Below are 24,599 nucleotides of genomic sequence, written 5' to 3'. Positions count from 1 at the left end.
TGTCTTCTTTTCAATTATAGCCATCCTAGTGGATATGAAGTAGTATCCCATTACAGCTTTTATTTGCATTTCCCTAATGACCAATAATCCTGAGCATCTATTCATGTGTTTACCAGCCATTTGTGTACCTTTGAAGATATAGCTATTCAAATACTTTGCCCATTTTTTAATTGAGCTATTTGTCTTTTTATTCCTGAGGTGTAGAATTTTTTCTATTCTGGATACAAGTCCCTTATCAGATAACATGATTTGCAAATATATTCTTCCATTCTGAGAGAGTTGTCATTTCATTTTCGTGATAGTGTCCTTAGATCACAATTTTTAAAAATTTTGAGGATCTCCAATCTGTTTTTCTTTGATTGCTTGTGCTATACACGTTATATCTAAGAAACCATTGCATCATCCACGGTCACAGATTTACATCTATTTTCTTGTAAAGAGTTTTATAGTTATAGTTCTTACATTTAGGTCTTTATTCCATTTTTAGCTTATTTTTGTATATAGTATGAGGTATAAATTCAACTTCATTCCTCTGCATGTGGTTACCCAGCTGTCCCAAATAACTTCAGCTCTTTATGTTTTCCTTCCTTCTTTGTGCTTAATTTGCAGTTTTTGTAACTTACTGGGATAAATGCTCAGCTTATTGATGTTTGCCCTTTATTCTTTTCTAATAAATTAAGATACGAAGTTCCCTCTAAGGACAGCTTCAGCAATATTCCATAAATTTTGATGTTTTATTATTATAATTAAAATATTTTCTAATTTTCATTGTTTTTTTCCTTAACCCAAAGTTCCTTTGGAGTATGTTTTATAGTTTCTAATCATGTGGTGCAAAAATAATTATGGTTTCTGCATTGTTGGAATTTGCCATTTGATACTGGAATAGATCTTAAATAAATGTGGTTATGTTATACATCATTTTAATGGGCATTTTTTGCTTTATTGTTTTTGCTAATGACTTATTACTTGCTGTTTATGTTGATTTTAAACTATGGAAATGATGTTAGACAAAAAGCAAATTTGAGTGATTTTCTTATCTGAGTTCAAAATGCATAGTGCCCGGCCATGGGAAGTTGACAACAATCAATTGAGAGCAATCATGGAAGCCGATCCTCCTATAACTGCCCATTTCTCCATTGGGTTGTGATGTACCACAAAAAGTGGATTTTATACAACAACCGGCGATGGCCAGCTCAGTGGTTGGACAGAGAAGAAGCTCCAAAGTACTTCCCAAAGCCAAAGTTGCACTAAAAAATGGTGATGGACACTGTTAGATGTCCTGCTGCCACTCTGATTCACTACAGGTTTCTAAACCCCAGCAAAACCCTTCCATCTGAGAAGTATGCTCAGCAAGTCAATGACATGCACTGAAAACTGCAATGCCTGCAGCCAGCATTGGTCAACAGGAAGGGCCCAATTCTTCTCCACAACAACGCCCAGCCATACATTGCACAACCAATGCTTCAAAAATTGGACAAATTGGGCTACAAACTTTTGCCTCATCTGCCATATTCACCTGATCTCTTGCCAACCGACTACCACCTCTTCAAGCATCTCGACAACTTTTTGCAGGGAAAACTCTTCCACTCTTCCAGCAGGATGCAGAAAATTCCTTCCAAGAGTTTGTTGAATCCTGAAGCACAGATTTTTATGCTACAGGAATAAACAAACTTATTTCTCATTGGCAAAAATGTGTTGATTGTAATGGTTCCTATTTTGATCAATAAAGATGTGTTTGAGCCTAGTTATAATGATTTAAAATTGTCTGAAACCACATTACTTTTGCACCAACCTATTAAATATATGAAATGTCTAACCATTTTTTCTAGCTTACTTTAATTATGATCAGAGAATATACTCTGGATCGTTATAATCTTTTGAATCTTATTTAGACTTGTATTATGGTATAGCAGATGGTCAGTTTTTGTAAATGTTCCACATGTACAGTAAAAATGTGTACTATAGGGCCGGGTGCAGTGGCTCACACCTGTAATCCCAGCACTTTGGGAGGCCGAGGCGGGTGGATCACCTGGGGCAGGAATTCGAGACCAGCCTGACCAACATGGTGAAACCCCGTCCCTACTAAAAATACAAAAATTAGCTGGATGTGGTGGCAGGCACCTGTAATCCCAGCTACTCAGGAGGCTGAGGCAGGACAATCGCTTGAACCTGGGAGGCAGAGGTTGCAGTGAGCCAAGAATGTGCCATTGCACTCCAGCCTGGGCAACAGTGAGACTCCATCTCAAAAAAAAAAAAAAAAAAAGAAGGTACCAGGCATTTGTTTTCTATAAATGTTGACTAGGTCGTTTAATTGTATTTTCTGTATCTCTGCCAACATTTTTGATTGAGTGTGTAATCTTTCTTTATGGTTGTGGATTTTCTATTTCTCCTTATAATTCTCTGATAAATTTAGAAGCTATTATTGAATTATATGTCTAGCATTGTTAAACCTTCCTTGTGAATTAGCCCTTTTATCATTAGCAACTGTTTCTCTTTACTAAGTCTTTTGACTGAAATTCTACTGTTTGATATTATTATAGCCACAGCAACTTTCTTTTGATGTTTAGACATCTTTTTATAACCTTTCCTTTTTATCTTTCTCTATCTTTGCATTTTATGCATCTTATAAATTGGCTGTATTATTATCTTGTTTCTCTTTTATTAGAGGATTTAGCCTATTTACATTTAATGCAATTTCTAATAGATTTGCCTTTAAATTTACCACCTCACCAACTGCTTTTCCCCATATGCCACTCTTTCTTTGTTATTTCCTCTTTCCTACCTTCCTCTGGGTTGAGTGCAATTTGTTCTGTATTATCAAATTTTTGTCCCATTAGCTTGGTGGCAATACTTTTAAGATCTTAAAAATCTTTTAGAGTGGTTACCCTGAGTATTATAAAAGCAACTTTGAATATTCGAGCTTAATATATCTGTAGGCCAGGGTTGGAAAGGAAAAATAAAAACTTTAAAAAAGAAAAAAAGTTTAATGTAAAACTACAGCTTAATCTTTTCTCAGAAAATAAGGCCATTAAAACATTTTAACTTGATTTATCCCTCTCCCAAGTTATATGCTTTTTTTTCTTTTTAAAATTCAGATTCTCACTCTGTCACCCAGGGTGGGCTGCAGCGGCGTGATCTTGGCTCACTGCAACCTCCACCTCCTGAGTTCAAGCAATCCTCAAGCCTCAAGCCTCCCAAGTAGCTGGGATTACTGGCATGCACCACCATACCCAGATGATTTTTGTATTTTTAGTAGAGACAGGGTTTCACCATGTTGGCCAGGGTGGTCTGGAACTCCTGGCCTCAAGCAATCCACCCACCTTGGTTTCCCAAAGTGCTAGGATTACAGGTGTGAGCCACTGAGCCTGGCCTGTTTTAAAATCACTATTCATTTATGCTGGGTGCAGTGGCTCATGCCTGTAATTCCAGCAACTCGGGAGGCTGAGGCAGAAGGTTCGCTCGAGGCCAGAAGCTCAATATCAGCCTGGACAACATAGTGAGACCTTGTCTCTATAAATTTTTTTTTAAACTTAGCTAGGTATGGTGTTATGCACCTGTAGTCCCAGCTACTAAGGAGGCTGAAGCGGGAAGATTGTTTGAGCCCAAGAGTTCAAAGCTGCAGTGAGACATGATCACATCACTGTACTCCAGTCTGAGTGACAGAGTAAAACCCTGACTCCAAAAAAAAAGAAAGAAAAACAATCACTATGCATTTAATCCATATATTTACCCTTTTAATTCATATTCCTTCTTGCATCTCCAATCTTCTATCTGGTAATGTTCTCCCTCTGCTTAAAGGCAATTTTTGTGTGTGTGCAGGATTTGCTAGGGGGAAATTCTCATTTTTCGTGTGAAATGTTTTAGTATTTTTGCTTTTTGTTTTTTGAGACAGAGTCTCACTCTGTTGCCCAGGCTGAGTGCAGTGACACGATCTCAGCCAACTGTAACTTCTGCCTCCCAGGTTCAAGCATTTCTCCTGCCTCAGCTTCCTGAGTATCCCAAGTAGCTGGGATTACAAGTGCACACCACCACATCCGACTAATTTTTGTATCTTTAGTAGAGACAGGGTTTCACCATGTTGGCCAGGTTGGTCACAAACTCCTGACCTCAAGTGATCCATGGGCCTCAGCCTCCCAAAATGTTGGGATTACAGGTGTTAGCCACCATGTCTGGCTGAAACGTTAATTTTTCCTATTGCACCCTATTTTTAAGGACAGTTTTGCTTATTATAGACTCTAGGTTAGCAGTTATGTCATCACTTTGAAAATGTCAGTCCATTATCTTCTGATTCCCATTGTTTGTATTGAGAAGTCAGTTGTCACATTTTGGTCCTTAGAAGGTAACATACCTTATTTTTGTCACTGCTCTACAATTTTTCCTTACTTTTCAACTGTATTAGTAATATTTGTATGCGTATTTTTAAAATTTATTTTGCTTGAGGTTTGCAGAGCTTTTGAAATCTATAGCTTGATGATCTTCATGAGTTTTATGAAATTCTTAAGCATTAACTCCAAATATTCTCTACTTTGCTCTTTCTAGAACTCCAGTTGCTTAATGTTAGCCCTTCTGTTACATTGCTTTCCGGTTCTTTTCCATCCTTTTGTCTCTGTATGTATCATTCAGAATTTTTTTCTTCTGACCAAACTAATTTCACTATCCTCAGCTTTGTTTCATCTGGTTTGAAACTCATTCATCAAAAAAAAATTTTTTTTTTGAGACAGAGTTCTGCTCTTGTTGCCCAGGCTGGAGTGCAATGGCACGATCTCGGCTCACCACAACCTCCGCCTCCCAGGTTCAATTGATTCTCCTGCCTCAGCCTCCCGAGTAGCTGGGATTACAGGCATGCACCACCACCCCTGGCTAATTTTGTATTTTTAGTAGAGATGGGATTTCTCCATGTTGGTCAGGCTGGTCTTGAACTCCCGACTTCAGGTGATCCGCCCGCCTTGGCCTCCCAAAGTGCTGGGATTACAGGTGTGAGCCACAGCACCCGGCCTCATCAAATTCTTAATTTTAGCTCTTGCTTTTTTGCTGTTGTTGTTGTTGTTGTTGTTAGAATTTCCACTTAGGCTAGGCACTGTGGCTCACACCTGCAATCCCACTACTTTGGAGGCCAAGGCAGGTAGATTGCTTGAGCTCAGGAGTTTGCGACCAGCCTAGGTAGAAATGGCAAAACCCCATTTCTACTAAAAACACGAAAAAATTATCTGGGCCTGGTGGCGCATACCTGTAGTCCCAGCTACCCAGAGACTGTGGTAGGAGGTTCGCTTGAGCCCAGGAGGTCGAGGCTGCAGTGAGCCATGATTGCACCACTGCACTCCAGCCTGGGTGAAAAAGTAAGACCCTGTATTTAAAAAAAAAAAAAAAAAAATCTATTTAGTTTTTCAGTTCCCAGTTAACTAAAACTTTCAATCTTGTCTTTTTTCAAGCATACTACATTGTTATTTTTAAGTCTAAAAATAACTGAATGTCTGAGAGCTTCATGTGGTGCCTACTAACTCCAGAATTAGGTAGACTAACCCTCCAAGTCACAAGCAGTACTGGAGCCAGGACAAGGGCCAACCAATTAAGACTTAAGAATGAACAAGCAAAGAACATATATGGTCAACCCTCACACCCATGGATTCAACCAACCATGGATCAGAAATATTCAAAATTAAAATGCATCTGTACTTAACATGTACAGACATTTTTTCCTTGTCATTATTCTCTAAACAATACAATATAACAACTATTTACATAGCAGTTACATTGTATTAAGCACTTTAGGAGGCAGAGGCAGGACAATTGCTTGAGGACAGGAGTTGGAGACCAGCCTGGCCAACATGGTGAGACACTATCTCTACAAAAAAAGTTTAATTAGCTGGGCGTGGTGGCATACACCTGTGGTCCCAGCTACTCGGCAGGCTGACACAAGAGGATCACTTGAACCCAGGAGGTCAAGGCCGAAGTAAGCTGTAATTGTGTCACTGCACTCTAGCCAGGGTGACAGAACAAGACCCTGTCTCAAACAAAAAAAAAGAATTATAAGTAACCTAGAAATTAAATTATTTAAAGTATATGGGAGTATGTGCATAGGTTATATGCAAATACTGTGCCATTTTATATCAGAAACTTGAGCATCTGGATGTTGGTATCCGTGGAAGGTTCGAAACCAGTCCCTCATGGATATCAAAGGGCTACTGTACTCTGAAAGCAGAGTCACTCCCAAGAGAAAGAGAAAGCTCATCTGATTATGCTTATTTTTTTCTTCCCATTTGCTTCTCCCAGGAACTCTTAGGATCGTTCTTTTTTGTGTTAAATTATTAGGCCGGAGATTACCGTGCAGGTAACTTTTAAGTGTCTGGTTAGCCCCACATAAGCACAGACCTATGGCTACAAATTCTCAGGGAAAAGAACACATTTTCCCCCACCCAACCAGAATCTAAACCAAGTCATCCAAGTTTTCTCAGTCACTCTTTACTATAGGCCAGATTTTTCTAATCTATTCTTTTTTTTTTGAGATGGAGTCTCACTGTCGCCAGGCTGGAGTGCAGTGGCACGATCTTGGCTCACTGCAGTCTCCGCCTCCCAGGTTCAAGCAATTCTCCTGCCTCAGCCTCCCGAGTAGCTGGGACTACGGTGCGCACCGCCATGCTGAGCTAATTTTTTTGTATTTTTAGTAGAGACAGGGTTTCATCATGTTGGCCAGGATGGTCTTGATCTCCTGACCTTGTGATCCGCCTGCCTCAGCCTCCCAAAGTGCTGGGATTACAGGCTTGAGCCACCACGCCCGGCCCTAATCTATTCTTTCACTAAAGAGAGCAGCTCTTTGAGATGCTGTGTATGCATAGATGTCAGGGCTTTAAGTACCATGCTATTGGAATGGATGACGGGAAATCACAAAAGATATTAGGCAACAGAAGATGATCAGATTTGATGAAATATTACTGGAGCTACAAGGTAAACCCCTCAACCATACTGTCAAGCAGCTTATATTCCAACAGAACAATGGTTCTCAACTGGGGGCATCTCCAGCTCCAGTGACTATCTGGCAATGCCTGGAGAGATTTTTGGTTGTCACAGCTGGAAGGATGCTGCTCACATCCAGTGGGCAGAGGCCAAAGATGTTGCTAAATATCCTACAATGCACACAGGACAGCCCCATAAGACTTATCCTACCAAAAACGTAGCAGCAGAATAACAGAGAAACAAGCACAGTAAAAACACACATAATATTAGTCTGTACAACGTACAGGAGAGCATGCAAGTGGGCAGGGGAATTCATGAAACACTGTAACAGGCACCTAAAGCTTAAACTGAATTGGAAATGATTTAGGAAGGTAGGGGGATCAGGCACTATAAGCATGAGTATGAAAGTAAGAGGTATATTCTTCCACATGTTTAGTGCACTACAAATAACTTGGTACCCCTAAAACTCAGAGGCAAAGAGTAATGGGGCAAGATAAGGCTAAAAAAGAAGTCAGGGGCCAGATCACGAAAGTCCTTACTTACTCAATGAGGAGTTTGGACTTCACCCTATAAGTAATGGGGTGGGAGGAGGTTGGTATTAAAGGTTAATGAAGAGAAAACAAGAAGAAACTTATTTTCGAAAGATCACTCTGCTAACATTATGGAGTACGGTTTGAGGGCAAAATAAGATAAAAGACCAATTAGTAAACCACTGCAGTAATCCAGGCCAGAGAAGACTAGAAACAGGATGTACCAAGAACCAATATAGTAGCATAGATTGATAAAAAGTACGATAGCCAGTCTTTAATGACAATATGAAAAGAAGTTCTAATCCCAATTTTCAAGCCCCATTCACAGAGATGAGAGTATAGAAGGAGAAAATTTAATGAAAAGATAATGAAAGATAAAGCTATCCCATTCAGATCACTTATTAAAAAGCTATGCAAGTATATAGACAAGATTATTACTAGGGCATATATTAGCAATATCTGTGTCCTGGTGCTTTGAACCCTGATACAACAATGAAAATATTTTAAAATCTTTCTCTTCTACTTCTATTATCATACATCATACATGTATTTATCTTACTTCCTGATATTTCGTTACATTATTTTCAATAAAATAAAACACCAATGTATTTTGTTATTTAAGGATTTGTTTAATGTTTTAAAATTCAAAGCACTTTAAATTATTTTAAGACAAAAGATTAATAAAAACAACATTACCTTTCAAATACAACTTTATAACAGCACAGTGGAAGAATGGTAAACAGTCCCTCTTTTTTTTAAAAAAAAATCAGTACTTAAAACCAAAGGAAGGCTTATATGTACAGCTAATTCAGAAAGGGAACAATGACACCTAAAGACATAGATAAATGCTTCATTTTAATCCAATAAATGTCCTACCTACTGGATCTTAATAATGATGTTTTCAATATGCCATTTAAAATAAACTATCCTTGAAAATAAAGTTTTAAATCATTCAATATAATCTATGAAATAGCATCTAGTTAACTAGATTACCTTAAATATACCAAATATTATAATCAGCAAAATAAAAACCAGTAAATCAATTTGTATCTGAAAGCCTGATGTTCTGATCTACTGGATTTTAATTTTTTTTCCCTAAGATTAACAATATAAACAAATCTTTTGGGTACTCAACATATTATGACAAGCTCAGGCATGTTCAGGGTGGTATGGCCATAGACAGTACCAACATATTAGAAGGAAATTACCTATTTATAATTATTAACTTTCAAAAATATGACTCACCACCGAACACCAGTACAATATTTTAGCAATCATCTTATGTGACGTGACAAGTGGAAAACAAATTTCTCAACAATAGTGGGTCACCATATTCCTCCATCTAACAGTTACTTTTAAAAAAAGTAAACTTTGGAGGCCATGACGGCAGGAGTGAGAGGCCAGGAGTTTGAGACCAATCTGGGCAACATAGCAAAACTCTGTCCCTACAAAACAATAATAGTAATTATAAATTAGCTGGGCATGGTGGTACATGCCTATAGTCCCAGCAACTCAAGAGGCTAAGGCAGGAGGATCGCTTGAGCTCAAGAGGTTGATGCAATAACCTATGATCATGCCACTGCACTCTAGCCTGGGCAACAGAGCAATACCCTGACATTAAAAAAAAAAAAAAAAAGATTAACTTATTTTCAAAAGCTCCACATATAACAAACATGATTAAACACTTTAAAATTAAACTGAAATAAGCTATGAAATTTCATTTTTCCTTTTTACACAAAGTATCATAAGTAAAATTGTGAACAAATTCTAAATATTTCCTTGTTGTTTTTAATTGTTCCTAATACTATTTTAGTTTAATTATTTATTTAACCGCTTCTTTAGATTCTCAAGGTGTTCCATATTAACATCTTGTAATGCCAGTACCATTGCTTTAGACAAGGAAGGATTAAATGAAATAGTCATTAGACAGCACAAATCTATTAGATCTCTTTGACATTTCTGCAACCCTTCCAGGAACTTTTGGTATTGAAGAGGATCCTTTTTTGACTGTTTCATTTCTGGTACTGAGAACCCTATCAAGCTAGTAAGTATTTCATCCACAAAGTCTACATCTAGATATGCAGTACCATCAGACACCTTTGCAGTTATACTCCAAATACCACCAGAACTTGAGAGATTTCCAGTTAAGGTTACAATAAATGCTTTCACTTTCACTGTTGTAACTTCCTTTGGTTTGCTGGCCATTAGAACAGACAAATAGACAAAGGGTGGAGAATACAAATCCATGGCAATAGAAAGATTAATGCTATTCTCTGATGATCTTAAAGAACAACTCTGTAAATTACAATCATTTTCATTAGAAATTTGTGAATTCCTTTTCTGTACATAGTTGACCACCTCTCTATTTAATATTTTATTATTTAAGGAATGGCTATCTGAACTGCTGGTTTGTTTTATTTTATTATCTGTCTCTAAGTTCTTTTCTTTATTTGTAAAATCATGGGCTAAGGGTACATTACAATGAACTGAAAAAATACTCCTGTTTTGGTCTCTAACAGATGGACAACCAAATGATTTGTCTTCATTAGTCATTTGTTCAGATACATTTTTTTCACTCCAATTATTGTTTCCATTTTTGCAAGTCAAAGAAAAGTTATTCGTAGTATTAGGATTATGTGAAAATCTCTCTATACTTCGATCGGCATTTCTGTTAAAAGTCAATGGTTGCAATTCCTTAGTTTCCATCTGTTCTTTCTGGACAGTTTCTTCTAAAAGCAAGGCCTCCTCCAGTGAAAAGTCATCTAATTCTCCATCCATTACATGTATAGATAGGTTTGATGGTTCCTCTTTTGGTCTTGGAGAAATAACAAATTCTGGCTCAAAACTTGACTGTCTTGTGGGAATGGTATTTGAGGAACTACCTGTGGTGAAACATCGTTCTGAGGAAGTGTCATTATTTGCTGTAAGCTCATCATTTTCATCAAGACTTGCCAAGAGTTCTTCATCAGAAGGACCTAATGCAGGATCTAGAACATCTGTAACTCTGGGAATGTTTTCGTTAGAATTGTTTGGTATGACTGAAACTACAAGATCAGGTTCCCCTATTAATCTTGCAAGTACTTTTTCTTGGGCATATTCTTCTAAAAGAGCATCTACTTCACCTCCTAACACTTTCACGTTTTCTGGTTTCAATAAGAGAACACCAAGACGGAAAGATATATTTCCATAAATCAAAATTTTTGTACCTGGAGGAAGATCACTATGAAGAATTGGAATAGGCTGATATTCCATTCCCTGTATTTGTACGATTCCATCAGTTAGCTGCAGCATCAACATTCGTGAAGGCTTTGCTTCCCAAGGTTTTGGGGTTACTTGTGCTTCAGCTGTAACTAGATCATTTGTTGTATTCTTTCCTCTCAACTTCTGTATCTGGGAGTATGCAGGCTGACTTACATCAACCAAGGAATTAATCTGCAGAGCATAAAATCCATTTAATTCTCCTTTTGGAATTTCTAAAATGCCATCGGGTAAAAGAGGATGCTCCAAATCCCTCAGATCAGTAAGGAGCCACTGCTCAAACACTTGTTTATTCATTTGGGCCTGACTCAAGTTAACATTATTATTTTCTTCTTGAATCCAGTTAATACAAGCTTCCAGCCACATCGGAGGTACTTTAACATGCCATGCAGCTAAAAGCCAAGTTTCAGCTCTTAATGCAATACTAGTCACATTCATTTCTTTTAAATAAAAGAAATAATATGCATCTATTACCTGAAAACAAAAAACAAAAAAATTTAGATAATTCAGTATATTTGAATACAGCTTCTGTAATTCTCTACAATGCACAGACAGGCACACCCTTTAGATTTTTCACTCTTCAGCATCTTACATGGTCGAAATTGAAACACTACACATAATCAGATGGTAAAATGAGAAAATCAAAAGGTTTGAGACAGCTATACCTAGGTTTGAAAGCTGGCTCTGTCAAGTTACAAGATATGTGACCTAATATAAAATTCTCAACTTCTGTAACCAGTTTTTTCATCTATAAAATGTCAACACTACCATCTATCTTATAGGATTGTTAACAGGATCACATGAATTATATTTGTAAAGCATAATGTCAGACCTATAAAGGATATTCAGTAAACAGTAGTTACATTAGCCTCCCTTATCTATGGGGAATATGCTCCAATACCCCCAGTGGATGTCTGAAACTCTAAATATTATCAAACTTAATATATATTATTTTTTTAAATCCGATGACCAACCAGCTACTAAGTGACTAAAGGGTGGGTAGCATAAACAGCATAGATATGCTGGACAAAGGGATGATCCAAGTCCAGGGTATGATTTCATCACACTATTCGGAACAGCACTAAATTTAAAACTTATGAATTATTTCTGGAATTTTCTGCTAAATATTTTCAGACCTTGGTTGACTGCAGATAACTGAAACCACAGAAAGCAAAACCACGGAGAAAGGGAGACTACTGTATAATATATTATAATTGATCTAATAATCACATTCTAATCATTTAAAATTTAGTTAAGAAACAATGTTCACTAATGTTCTTTATGTATGTGCAATAGTTCTAATTTAACTCTATTAAAACATACCACTGTGTCTGTCCATTTAGTACTTGAATATGTGGTCTAAAGATAAAATTATAACAAATAACAGCAGACTCTGAGCTGATAGATGTAAAGCATCTTATTTGTTGGGCTAAATATTTTCAAAAGTCTGGCCAGGCAAATATATAAATATTTAACTTCTGATTTTCTCAGTATGATAAAGCAGTAGCAAAACAGTAAAGCCCAATCAATCATGTGTTCACAAAAGTATACTTTGTTCCTTCTACAGATGAAGATATTTATGAAGTAGAATATATTAAAGTTTTACTATGTCCATAAGAAAACTTACCACGAGGAACAGCAGCACAGGATTTGATGACAGAATTTGGAACTGGTTGTTAGTGGATTACTTGAAACCTCCACTGCTCAGAAATGGCCCTGGGAGATAAGACAAAAAGCAGTAAGAGTTATAAGATGAAGTTGTAGAAAGACAGGACTATTTTCTTAAGTGCAAGAGTTTGATGGTATGGTTCATGGGGATCAGAAACAAGAGACCATGAGAAAGTTACACATTCTCTCTAAGCCTGTTTCCTTTTCTATATACTTACCTCATAGGCTTACTGTGAAAATTAAAGAAGATAGGAGGTATAGTATTTGATGTTAAGAGTACATCTCTGGTGCTAGACTATATCATAAACTCTTACTTATAACCTCTGACTCTAAACAAGTTACTCAACTTCATGATATCCTACTTATCCTTATCTGATTTGTAAAACAAGAATAACAGGATTTTCCTCAGGCTTGTTATGAAGATTAGATTAATATGAAAAAAGCAGCACCTGGCACACAGCGAGAACTCAGTAAATGTATACTATTATTAGACTTACAGTGCCTACTACAGCAACTGGCAAAAAGCAGCCACTCAAAAACTATACTTATTGTTATTTTATTTTTTTTTATTTTATTTTATTCTATTCTATTTTATTCTATTTTATTTTACTTTTTTGAGACAGAGTCTTGCTCTGTCGCCCAGGGTGGACTGCAGTGGCGCAATCTCGGCTCACTGCAACCTCTGCCTCCCAGGTTCAATCGATTCTCCTGCCTCAGCATCCCCAGTAGCTGGGACTACAGGTGTGTGCCACCACACCTGGCTACTTTTTGTATTTTTAGTAGAGACAGGGTTTCGCCATGTTGGCCAGGCTGGTCTCAAATTCCTGACCTCAAGTGATCTGCCCACCTCAGCCTCCCAAAGTCCTGGGATTACAGGTGTGAGCAATCGCGCCCAGCCATTATTTTAGACTGAATGACCAATTCCTACATTGGATAAGTTCTACACTGCTCTGAAATTACTGAAATGAGACTTTTTTGTAGGTTCTCAAGAAAATAATATATACCTACCTGAGATTTTAGGGGTTTAAACCCTGAAAATGCTAATACAGCTCACCTTAAGCTACTGCTATAACAAAACTATTTTACATTGCATCCCCAAAAACAGCTGAAAGAAATGCAGCACATGTCTGAGAAATGGAAGGAACTAAAACTTCAGTTTATTATTGATTCTAATGCTAGCAGTTGAACATCTTTTCATATTTCTCAGTGACATGGATTCCTTATCACTGCCTCTAAACAATTTCTCCTCTTTTGTTCTGTACTTCTGTCCTAGCACATAGTAAATGTATGTAAGTGCTTGCTACCATTAAAAATTTTTAAATGTCCCATAAAAGAAGACATAGAAGCATATAGTTCTCAGGAACCTATAAACAGTGGGTACATTATTAATTTAATTTAATGGATGATTAGAATTTAAAGGACATGGGGAAGTTAAGGTCATAATTATAGAACTGATTAATCTTTATATTAAAGAAAATGAGAGTATAAACATTTTTTAAACTATATGTAAAAAACAATGTAAAAATTCAAAAGTACAAAAAGTCTTTACTTGTTGTGATGAAGATAAACTATGCAGGTCAAATGAGCAGGTCTCTTTAACAAAGAAACCAAATCTCCACGCCAGCTCTCTGATTTACCAAATGGAAATACTTCCTATCTTGGCTGGGCATGGTAGCTCACGCCTGTAAACCCAGCATTCTGGGAGGCCAAGGTGGGAGGATCACTTGAGCCCAGGAGTTCAAGACCAGCCTGGGCAACAAAGCAAGATCCCATCTTTAAATTTTTTTTTTTAATTAGCCTGAGCATGGTGGTGCATGCCCGTAGTCCCAGCTACTAGGGAGACTGAGGTGGGAGGACTGCTTGAGCCCAGAGGTCGAAGCTACCATGAGCTATGACTGCACCACTGTACTCCACCTGGGCGACAGAGCAAGACCCTGTCTCTCAGAAAAAAAAAAAAATACTCCCTATCTTATTAAGAAAAGCAAAGTATAGGTGATATGGTTTGGGTCTGTGGCCCCACCCAAATCCCCAGTGTTGGAGGTAAGACCTGGTAGGAGGTGACTGAATCATGGTGATGGATTTCCCCCTCAGTGCTGCTCTCATGATAGTAAGTGCTCCTGAGATCTGGTTGTTTAAAAATGTGTGTGGCACAGACGAGGAGAAGAAGCCCCTATGCCAGTTTTCCATGTGACACCCTCCTCCCAGTGGGTGCGGAGCCCTCCTCACTCCTCTCTGACCCGCCCTGTTACACAGCCCACCAGGGTCCAGGGAGGCATTTGTTCTTGCTTTAAGTCAGGAGTAACAAATAATTTCTTTCTTTTTTTTTTTCAATTAAGGGAAAAAAAGGGCCAGGCACAGTAGCTCGTACCTGTAATCCCAGCACTTTGGGAGGCCAAGGTGGAAGGATCACCTGAGGTCGAGAGTTCGAGACCAGCCTGACCAACATGGAGAAACCCCATCTCTACTAAAAATACAAAATTAGCTGGGTGTGGTGGCGCATGCCTGTAATCCCAGCTACTCAGGAGGCTGAGGCAGGAGAATTGCCTGAACTTGGGAGGCAGAGGTTGTGGTGAGCTGAGGTTGCGCCATTGCACTCCAGCCTGGGCAACAAGAGCGAAACCCTATCTCAAAAAAAAAAAAAAAAAAAAGGGGGGGGTGTTGGACTTACCTCTACCTTTAAAACCACCCAGAGCCCTGCCAAAAAAAAAAGGGGGGGGGAATCCACCTCTATCTTTAAAACCACCCAGAGCCCTGCATCCCGCCCCATGTCCTATGTTGTTGCTAATGACAATATGATGTTTACTCTGTTATTCAAAAACTATTTTTATGTAATTAATGTATGCTTTGTTTATAAATGCCTGATTAAAAAAAAAAAGTGTGTGGCACCTTCTCCCTCTCTGCCCTCCCCCTGCTCTGGCCACATAAGATGCACCTGCTTTGCCTTCACTTTCACCATGATTTTAAGTTTCCTGAGGCCTCCCCAGCCTGCTCCTGTACAGCCTGCAGAACCATAAGCCAATTTAAACCTCTTTTCTTTATAAATTACCCAGTCTCAGGTATTTCTTTACAGCAGAACAAGAACGAACTAATCTAATAGGATATATAGTATGCTAACTTTTGTATACAAAACAAAGGAAAATAAGCACATTATTACTTAATAAACATAAAGTACCTCTAGATGGATATACAAGAAACTAGACAAAAATTTAAATATTTAGCTACACTCAATAACAAGAGTAAGATCTTCGTGGGTCAGGAACAGATGGCAAACTTAAGAGTGGTTAAGTGGGCACTAAAGCCGTGCAGCCCCCAGGAAAAGGGCACTTAGCTAAAAACAGTGTAGCTAAAGATACAAAGCTCCAGAAATCCAGCATGCCATGGATGGGACAGAAGACCAGAAACAGACTCCTTGCTGGAACTGGGCCAAAAAAAGTTCCACCCAACACCTACATGTGGCGGGAACAGAGTTACCCTGAGAATAGACACTGGGCCTGCATAACACATATAACACACGTAGTGTGGTCCAGAACTGGGCTATTCACTAAGTAAAAACCCAAATTCCTAATGAAACAGCTGACCTAGAGCTATGTCAGCCAGAGGGACAGGTGGAGTAAACTCTAAAGCCACACAAAAAGGGTAAAACACACACAGGAAAAAACAATCCAACGTGAGCCTGCAAGCCAAAATTATAATACACTTTAGGAAAATTACTACCAATCAGCAGACAGAGCAAATAGAATTTACACCTGAAGACAGTTTTTTAAATGAAACATCTTAATTTTTTTTTTATCTCTTTGAGCATACTAAATATACTTAAGTGGGACTAACATCCTAAAAGAAGAATAGAAGATAATTAAATGATCACGGGCATTTATAAAAAGAATCTACTGCAAATCTTGGAAACAGAAAATGGTCTCTAAAATTAAAATCAATAGATGGGATAAACATCCAGCTAACAACAAATGAGGAGATAACTTATGCATTAGAAATTACCTAGAACACGGTATAAAGAAAGATTAAGATATTACCTGCTGGGCGCAGTGGCTCACGCCTGTAATCCCAGCACTCTGGGAGGCCGAGGTGGGTGGATCACCTGAGGTCAGGAGTTCAAGAACAGCCTGACCAATATGGTGAAACCCCGTCTCTACCAAAAATACAAAAATTAGCCGGGCGTGGTGGCATGTGCCTGTAGTCCCAGCTACTTGGGAGGCTGAGACAGAAGAATTGCTTGAACCCGGGAGGCGGAGGTTGCAGTGATCTGAGATCGTGCTATTGCACTCTAGCCTGCGCAACAGAGTGAGACTCTTGTCTCAATTAAAAAAAAAAAAAAAAGATATTACACAATGAGGAAAAAAGAACTAAGAAGTAGGGAACATAGTTCCAACAGTGAAATAATTGCAATTTCAGAAAGAAAAAATAGAAGAGGTGAAGGAAATGTTTTTTAAAAAGTAATGGTTGAGGCCGGGGCAGTGGCTCATGCCTGTAATGCCAGCATTTTGGGAGGCCAAGGCAGGTGGATCATGAGGTCAGGAGTTCAAGACCACCCTGGCCAACAATGGTGAAACCCCATCTCTACTCGAAATACAAAAATCAGCTGGGCATGGTTGCACGCACCTGTAATCCCAGCTACTCGGGAGGCTTAGGCAGGAGAATGGCTTGAATCTGGGAGGCGGAGGTTGTGGTGAGCCGAGATCTCGCCACTGCACTCCAGCCTGGGTGATACAGTGAGACTTCATCTCAAAATAAATAAATAAATAATGGTTGAAATTTTTCCAAGATATTATTTTCTAGGTTGAAAAAACTCTCTACTGCTAATCAGTATTTTTTTAATCTACACTTATACACAGTAACATGGCAAAATACAAAACATTAAGGATAAAGAAAAGTATCAGAAGACCTAACAAGCTGGATGTAAAATATAAGATAACAAAAATGTGGGAGCTAGACGTGGTGGTTCATGTCTGTAATCACAACACTTGGGAGGCCGAGATGGGCAGAACGCTTGAGCTCAGGAGTTCAAGACCAGCTTGGGCAACATGACAAAACCCCATCTCTACAAAACATACAAAAATCAGCCAGGTGTGATGTCACCTTCTGGTGGTCCCAGCTACTTGGGAGGCTGAGGTGGGAGGATCACTTGATCCCAGGAAGTATCTGGTCAATCTTTGACAATGGTGCCAAGACTCCACAATGGAAAAACGATACTCTCTTCAGCAAATGGTGTTGAGAAAACTGGACATGCCCATGTAAAAGATTAAAGATGGACGTTATCTCACACCATATACAAAAATTAACTCAAAATGGATTACAGGTCTAAAGGTAGCACCTGAAACTATAAAATTCCTAGAAGTAAACATAGGGAAAAAGCTTCATGACATTGAAATGGGCTATGATTTCTTGGATATGACACCAAAAGTACAGGTAACAAAAGCAAAAATAGACAAATGGGACTACATCAAACTGAAAAACTTCTGTGCACCAAAGGACACAATCAACAGAGTAAAAAGACAATTTATGGAATGGGAGAAAATATTTGCAAACCACATATCAGATAAGGTGTTATTACCCAGAATATGTAAAGAACTTCTCAACTTGATAATTAACAACAAAAAATAATCCAATTTGAAAATGGGCAAAGAGCTTGAATAGACATTTCTCCAAAGATATACAATGAGCTGATAACAGTGGCTCACACTTGTAATCCCAGCACTTTGGGAGGCGGAGGCAGGTGGATCACTTGAGCCCAAGAGTTCAAGACCAGCCTGAACAACATGGCGAAACCCCATCTCTACAAAAAAAAAAAAAAAAAATTAGCCGGGCATGGTGGCGCACGCCTGTAGTCCCAGCTACTCATGAGGCTGAGGTGAGAGGACTGCTTGAAGTCAAGGCTGCAGCAAGCCGTAAGTGTGCGACTGCACTCCAGTCTGGGCGACAAAGCAAGACCCTATCTTAAAAAATAATAATAATAATAATAAAAAGATATACAATGGTCAATAAGCATATGAAAAGATGCTCAACATCACTAATCATAAAAGAAATACAAATCAAAACCACAATGAGATCTCATCCTCATACCTGTTAGAAGTGCCAATATCAAAAAACCAGAAAATAACAAGTATTGGAGAGGATGTGGGAAAATTGAAACCCCTGTGCACTGTTAATATTATTATAAAATGGTGAAGCTACTATGGAAAACAGTATAGAGCGTCCTCAAAAAATTAAAACTAGAACTACCACATTATCCCACTTCTAGGTGTATATCCAAATGAACTGAAAACAGGATCTTGAAGAGATATCTCACAATCCACGTTTGTTGCAGCATTGCTCACATTAACGATACAGAAACAATCGAAATGTCCACTGATAGAAGGATACACAAAACATAACATATACATACCATGGAATGTTCAGTATTATAAAAGAAGTAAATCCTATCATATGCCACAACATAAATTAACCTTGAGGACATTATGCTAAGTAAAATAAGCCAATCACAAAAGGACAAATACTGCATGATTCCACTTACATGAGGTACCTAATATAATCAAGCACACAGAAATGGAAAGTAGAATGGTGTTTGTCAAGTGTTGTGGGGAGGGAGAAATGGGTAGTTTCAGTAATGCAAGATGAAAAAGTTATAGATAACTGTTGCACAACAATATGCACATAAGTAACAATGCCATAAATTGTATTCAAAATTTGTTAAGAGTGTAATTTTTTTTTTTTAGGCTACTCAAGTAAAGCACTGGAAATGGAGAAGGAATAAAGAAATCTATAATTGGTTGTGATCAATTAGTTGTAAACATCACTGCAATCAGACCAGTAGGTAAATTTATTTGATGTGCTTTTCACTACAATTTTAAAAAGAGAAAAAGATGGAAGAGAGAAAAAAGGAATAATAAAAGTACCCCTATTTGCCAATGACATGAATATTGATGAAGAAAATGCTAAAGAATCTACAAAAAAGCTCTATCACCTGAGTTAGCAAGATATAAGGCCAATATATAGCACAAAAGTCAATTTTACTTTTATATAATTGATCTTCATTCACAGATTCCTTATTTGCCTACTCACTAAAATTTATTTGTAATCCCAAAATCAATATTTACTGCACTCTCGTGGTCATTCATGAACATGTGCAGAGCAGTGAAAAACCTGAGTCACCCAACATGCACATTCCCAGCTGAGGTCAAAGTGATATTGTGCCTTTTTGGTTCAGGTCTCATACAATAAACAAGTCTCCTTTTAGTGCTCTACTTAGTGCCATGTTTTTATGCTTTTTTTTTTTTCCAGTAGTTTTGATGTTTAAAATGGATCCCTGGCACAGTGCTCAAGTGCTACCTAGTGTACCTAAGCACAAGAAAGCTGTGATCTGTCTTGTGGAGAAAATATGTATTTTAGATAAGCTTATTCAGGCATGAGTTACAGCACTGTTGGCTGTGTAAGTTCAATGTTAATGATTCAATGATATATATTAAATGAGGTGTCTTTAAACCTTCAAATAAGGTTGCCAACTGCACAAGCAACGGACAAAACAGTGTATTTTATAATAGCACCTAAAAGGCAAACACTATGCTGAAAACTATAAATTACAGATTAAAGAAATTAAAAACAACCTAAGCAAATGGAGAGATATGGATGTGTTCATGGATTAGAAGAGTTTACCTGGTTAAGGTTTTAGTTCTCCCCAAATTCATCTATAGATTCAATGCAATTCCATTCAAATCCCCAGCAATCTTTTTATAAAAAATAACAAACTGATTCTAAAATTTATATGGAACGGCAAAGGAACTAGAATTGCCAAGACAATTTTGAAAAAGAAAAACAAAGTTGGAGGATTCACACTATATAACATCGACACTTCATATAAAACTACAATAATCAACAGTGAGATGCTGACAAAAGGATTAACATACTGGAAAATAGGAAGAAAGGACAGTCTACAAATAGACACACATATATATGATCAATTGATTTTCCACAAAGTTGTAGAAGTAATTCAACAAATAAAAATTACCTCAAAATGGATCACAGAGCCAAGTGTAAAAACTAAAACTACAAAATATGTATAAGAAAAGTTTGCAGAAAAAATCTTTGTGACCTTGGTTTCCTAAAAGTTTTCCTAGAAAAATGACACCAGGCTGGACGTGGTGGCTCATGCCTATAATCCTAGCACTTTGGGAGGCCAAGGTGGGAGCATCACCTGAGGACAAAAGTTCAGGAGCAACCTGGGCAACATAGCAAGACCCCATTTCTACAAAAAATTTTTAAAACAAACTGGGGTATGGTGGCATACATTTGTAGTCCCAGCAACTTGGGAGGCTAAAATGGAAGGATTCCTTGAGCCCAGGAGGTTGAGGCTGTAGTCAGCCATGTTTGTGCCACTGCACCCTACCCTGGACACAAAGTGAGAACCTGTCTCTAAAAAATATTAGTTAAAAAAAAAAAAAGAAAAATGACATCAAAAGCATGATCCATGATGCATAAAAGAAAGAAATTTAAAACGTCTGTTCTATGAAAGACACTGTTAGGAATATAAAAAGACAAGACACACACACATGCATATTAGTCTAAAAGAAACATCTAATTGACAAGAGAAATATCCTGAATATCCAAAGAATTTTTAAAATTCAGTAAGAAAACAAATATCGTCCAGGCGCAGTAGCTCAGGCCTATATTCCCAACACTTTGGGAGGCTGAGGCGGGTGGATCACCTGAGGTCGGGAGTTCGAGACCAGCCTGACCAACGTGGAGAAACCCCGTCTCTACTAAAAATACAAAATCAGTTGGGCATGGTGGGACACGCCTGTAATCCCAGCTACTCTGGAGGCTGAGGCAAGATAATTTCTTGAACCCAGGAGGCGGGGGTTGTGGTGAGCCAAGATCGTACCATTGCACTCCAGCCTGGGCAACAAGAGCAAAACTCCGTCTCAAAAAAATAAATAAATAAATAAAAAGAAAGAAAGAAAGAAAACAAATATTAAAATGAGCAAAATACTTTTTATTGATACATAATAACCTACATATATATGGAGTACACATGATATTCCGATACATACATACAGTGTGTAATGATCAAATCAGGGTAATTAGGATATCTATCACTTCACACATTTATCATTTCTTTCTGTAGAGAACATTCCAAACCTTCTCTTCTATTTTGAAATAATAAATTATTGTTAACTATAGCCACAATGCAGTGCTATCAAACACTAGAACTTATTCCAATTGTTTTTTTTTTTTTTTAAGACAGCATTCTAGCTCTGTCGCCCAGGCTGGAGTGCAGCGGCGCTATCTCGACTCACGGCAACCTCCGCCTCCTGACTTCAAGCGATTCTCCTGCCTCAGCCTCCCAAGTAGCTGGGACTAGTCACGTACCACCACGCATGGCTAATTTTTGTATTTTTAGTAGAGACAGGGTTTCACTATGTTGGCCAGGCTGGTCTCGAACTCCTGACCTCGTGATCCGCCCACCTCAGCCTCCCATGCTGGGATTACAGGCATGAGCCACTGCGCCCGGCCTCTAACTGTATTTTTACACCCATTGACCAATCTGTCTTCCTACCCTTTGCCCCCCTACCCTTCCCAGCCTCTGGTAACCATTGTTCTACTCTCTACCTTCCCGAGATCAACTTTTTTTAAATCCCAAGAGTGAGAACATGCAACATGTCCGTGCTTGGCTTATTTCACTGAACATAATGTTCTCCAGTTACATCCATGTTGCTGGAAATGACAGGATATCATTCTTTTTTATGGCTGAATAATATTCCGTGTATATATACATTTTCTTTATCCATTCGTCTGCTGATGGATTCAGGTTTTTCCGTATCTTGGAAACTGTAAATAGTACTGTAATAAACGCTGGAATGCAGATCTCTCTTCAATACATTGATTTCCTTTCTTTTAGTTTATACTTTGTGGTGAAATTGCTGGATCATATGGCAGATCTATTTTGATTTTTTTGAGGAACCTCCATACTGTTTTTTACAGAGGCTACACTAATTTATATTCCCAATAAAACTGTCCTACCATTCCCCTTTCTCTTTATCCTCACAAGAATCTTTTTTATTTTATTTTATTTTTTTTTTTGTCTTTTTGATAGCCATTTTAACTGGGGTGAGACGATATCTCATTGTGGTTTTGATTTGCATTTCCCTGATTCACGATGTCGAATATTTTTTCATGTACCTGTTGGCCACCTGTACATCTTCTTTTGTGAAATGTCTATTCAGATCATTTGCCCATTTTAAAAATCAGATTATTTGGCTTTTTGCCATTGTTTCAGCTCCTTATATATTCTTGTTATTAATCCCTCGTCAGATGGATATTTTGCAAATGTTTTCTCTGATTCAATAAGTTGTCTCTTTACTCTGTTGGTTATTTCCTTTGCTGTACAGAAGCTTTTTAGCTTAATATAATACCATCTATTTTTGCTTTTATTGCCTGTGCTTTTAAGTTTTTACCTCAAAAAAATCTTTGCCCAGAACAATGTCCTGAAGCATTTCCACAATGTTTTTGCCTAGTAGTTTCACAGTTTCAGGTCTTACATTTAAGTATTTAATCCACAAAATAAGAAAGAGATTTGAAAGGATACTTCAGTCCAGGCATAGTGGCTCACACCTATAAGCCTGGCACTTTGGGAGACCAAGGCAGGAGGATCACTTGAGCCCAGGAAATAAAGACCAGCCTGGACAACATACTGAGATCTTGTCTCTACAAAAATATAAACAAAATTAGGTGGGCATGGTGGCATGTGCCTGTGGTCTCAACTACTCAGGAGGTTGAGATGGGAGGATCACTTGAGCCTGGGAGGTCAAGGCAGCAGTGAGCCAAGGTCACACCACTGCATTCAGCCTGGGTAACAGAGCAAGACCCTGTCTCAACAAAAAAACAAACAGAAGGCTAAAAGAAAAACGATATGGAAACTTCACCAAAGAAAATATGCAGATGGCAAATAAACACAGGAAAACAGTTCAATATTATTAGACATCAGGGAAATGCAAAATTAAAATCAAAGGTGATATCACTACACATGTAAAATAAAAAATAACTGACAATACCAAGTACTAGAATTCTCATTGCTAGTGAGAATGCAAAATGGCACAGCCACCGTGGAAAAGAATTTGGCAGGTTTCTACAAAGGAAAACAGTTGGGCAAGGTGCAGTGGCTCATGCCTGTAATCCCAGCACTTTGAGAGGCTGAGGAGGGCAGATTGCTCGAGCCTGAGAGTTCAATACCTGCCTGAGCAACACAGCAAAACTCTGTCTCTACCAAAAATGCAAAAATTAGCCAGACATTGTGGTGCATGCCTGTAGTCCCAGCTACTCAGAAGCCTGAGGGAGGAGGATCACCTGAGCCTAGGAGGACAAGGCTGCAGTGAGATGTGATCATGCCTCTGCTCTCCAGCTTGGGCGATAGAGCAAGACCCTGTTTCAAAACAAAACAAAAGGAAAACAGTTTAGCATTTTCTTAGAAATCAAAACATATACTTACCATACAACCCAGCAATGCAACTGCAAGGTATTTACTCAAGAGAGTAAATAATTTTGACATCCATTAAAATCCTGTATGTGGCCAGGTGTGGTGGCACACACCTGTAATCCCAGCACTTGGGGAAACTGAGGTGGGAGGGTCACTTGAGGCCAGGAGTTCAAAACCAGCCTGGGCAATATCTCTATCTCTCTATCTGTTACAAAAAATTAAAAAACTGAGTGTGGTGGCACATGCCTGTAGTCCTAGCTACCCAGGAGGCAGAGGTAGGAGGATCACTTGAGCCCAGGAGGTTGAGGCTGCAGTGAGCCGTGTTTGCACTACTGCACTCCAGCCTGAGTGACAGACTGAGACTCTGTCTCAAAAAAAAAACCCACCCACATGTCCTTCATTTGGTGAACGGATAAACAAACTGTGATAATATCCATACAATGGAATACTATTTAATAATAAAAATAAATTATGGACACAAGGAATAATATGCATGAATGTCAAATTCAGTATGGTAAGTAAAGGAATAATTCCATTTATATGACATTCTGGAAAAATGCAACACTATACAAACAGAAAACAGTTCAGTGGTTGCCAAAGGCCAGAAATGTGGAAAGAGGTTGACTACAAGGGGCAAAAGAAAATTTTTGGGGTGATGGAATTGTTCTATAACATGACGATGGTGGTGGTTGGTGGTTACATGACTGTTA

At 38.3% G+C, this 24,599-nt stretch overlaps 1 protein-coding gene across 6 annotated transcripts in view; it reads right to left on the bottom strand.

Moving 5' to 3' along the window:
- Nucleotides 1-8,089: 8,089 nt before the first annotated feature.
- Nucleotides 8,090-24,599, bottom strand: part of RMI1 (RecQ mediated genome instability 1) — a 23,716-nt gene continuing 7,206 nt past the window's right edge. For 3 of the 6 annotated variants that reach the window (NM_001358294.2, NM_024945.3, NM_001358291.2), the window contains exons 2-3: nt 12,367-12,455; nt 8,090-11,213 (exon numbers count right to left, since the gene is read on the bottom strand). In NM_001358294.2, the coding sequence (NP_001345223.1) occupies nt 9,300-11,177 (1,878 nt within the window). In that variant the 5' untranslated portion in view covers nt 11,178-11,213; nt 12,367-12,455 and the 3' untranslated portion in view covers nt 8,090-9,299. Of the gene's footprint in view, nt 11,214-12,366; nt 12,456-17,021; nt 23,714-23,759; nt 23,836-24,599 lie in introns of those variants that run through there. The other 3 variants (NM_001358292.2, NM_001358293.2, XM_017015140.2) reach the window with 2 other exon arrangements.

Source organism: Homo sapiens, chromosome 9 (assembly GCF_000001405.40).
Source record: "Homo sapiens chromosome 9, GRCh38.p14 Primary Assembly".
NCBI classification, from domain to species: Eukaryota; Metazoa; Chordata; class Mammalia; order Primates; family Hominidae; genus Homo; species Homo sapiens.
Note: the sequence above shows the minus strand (reverse complement) of the source record. Positions and strands in the feature narration are given on the sequence as shown.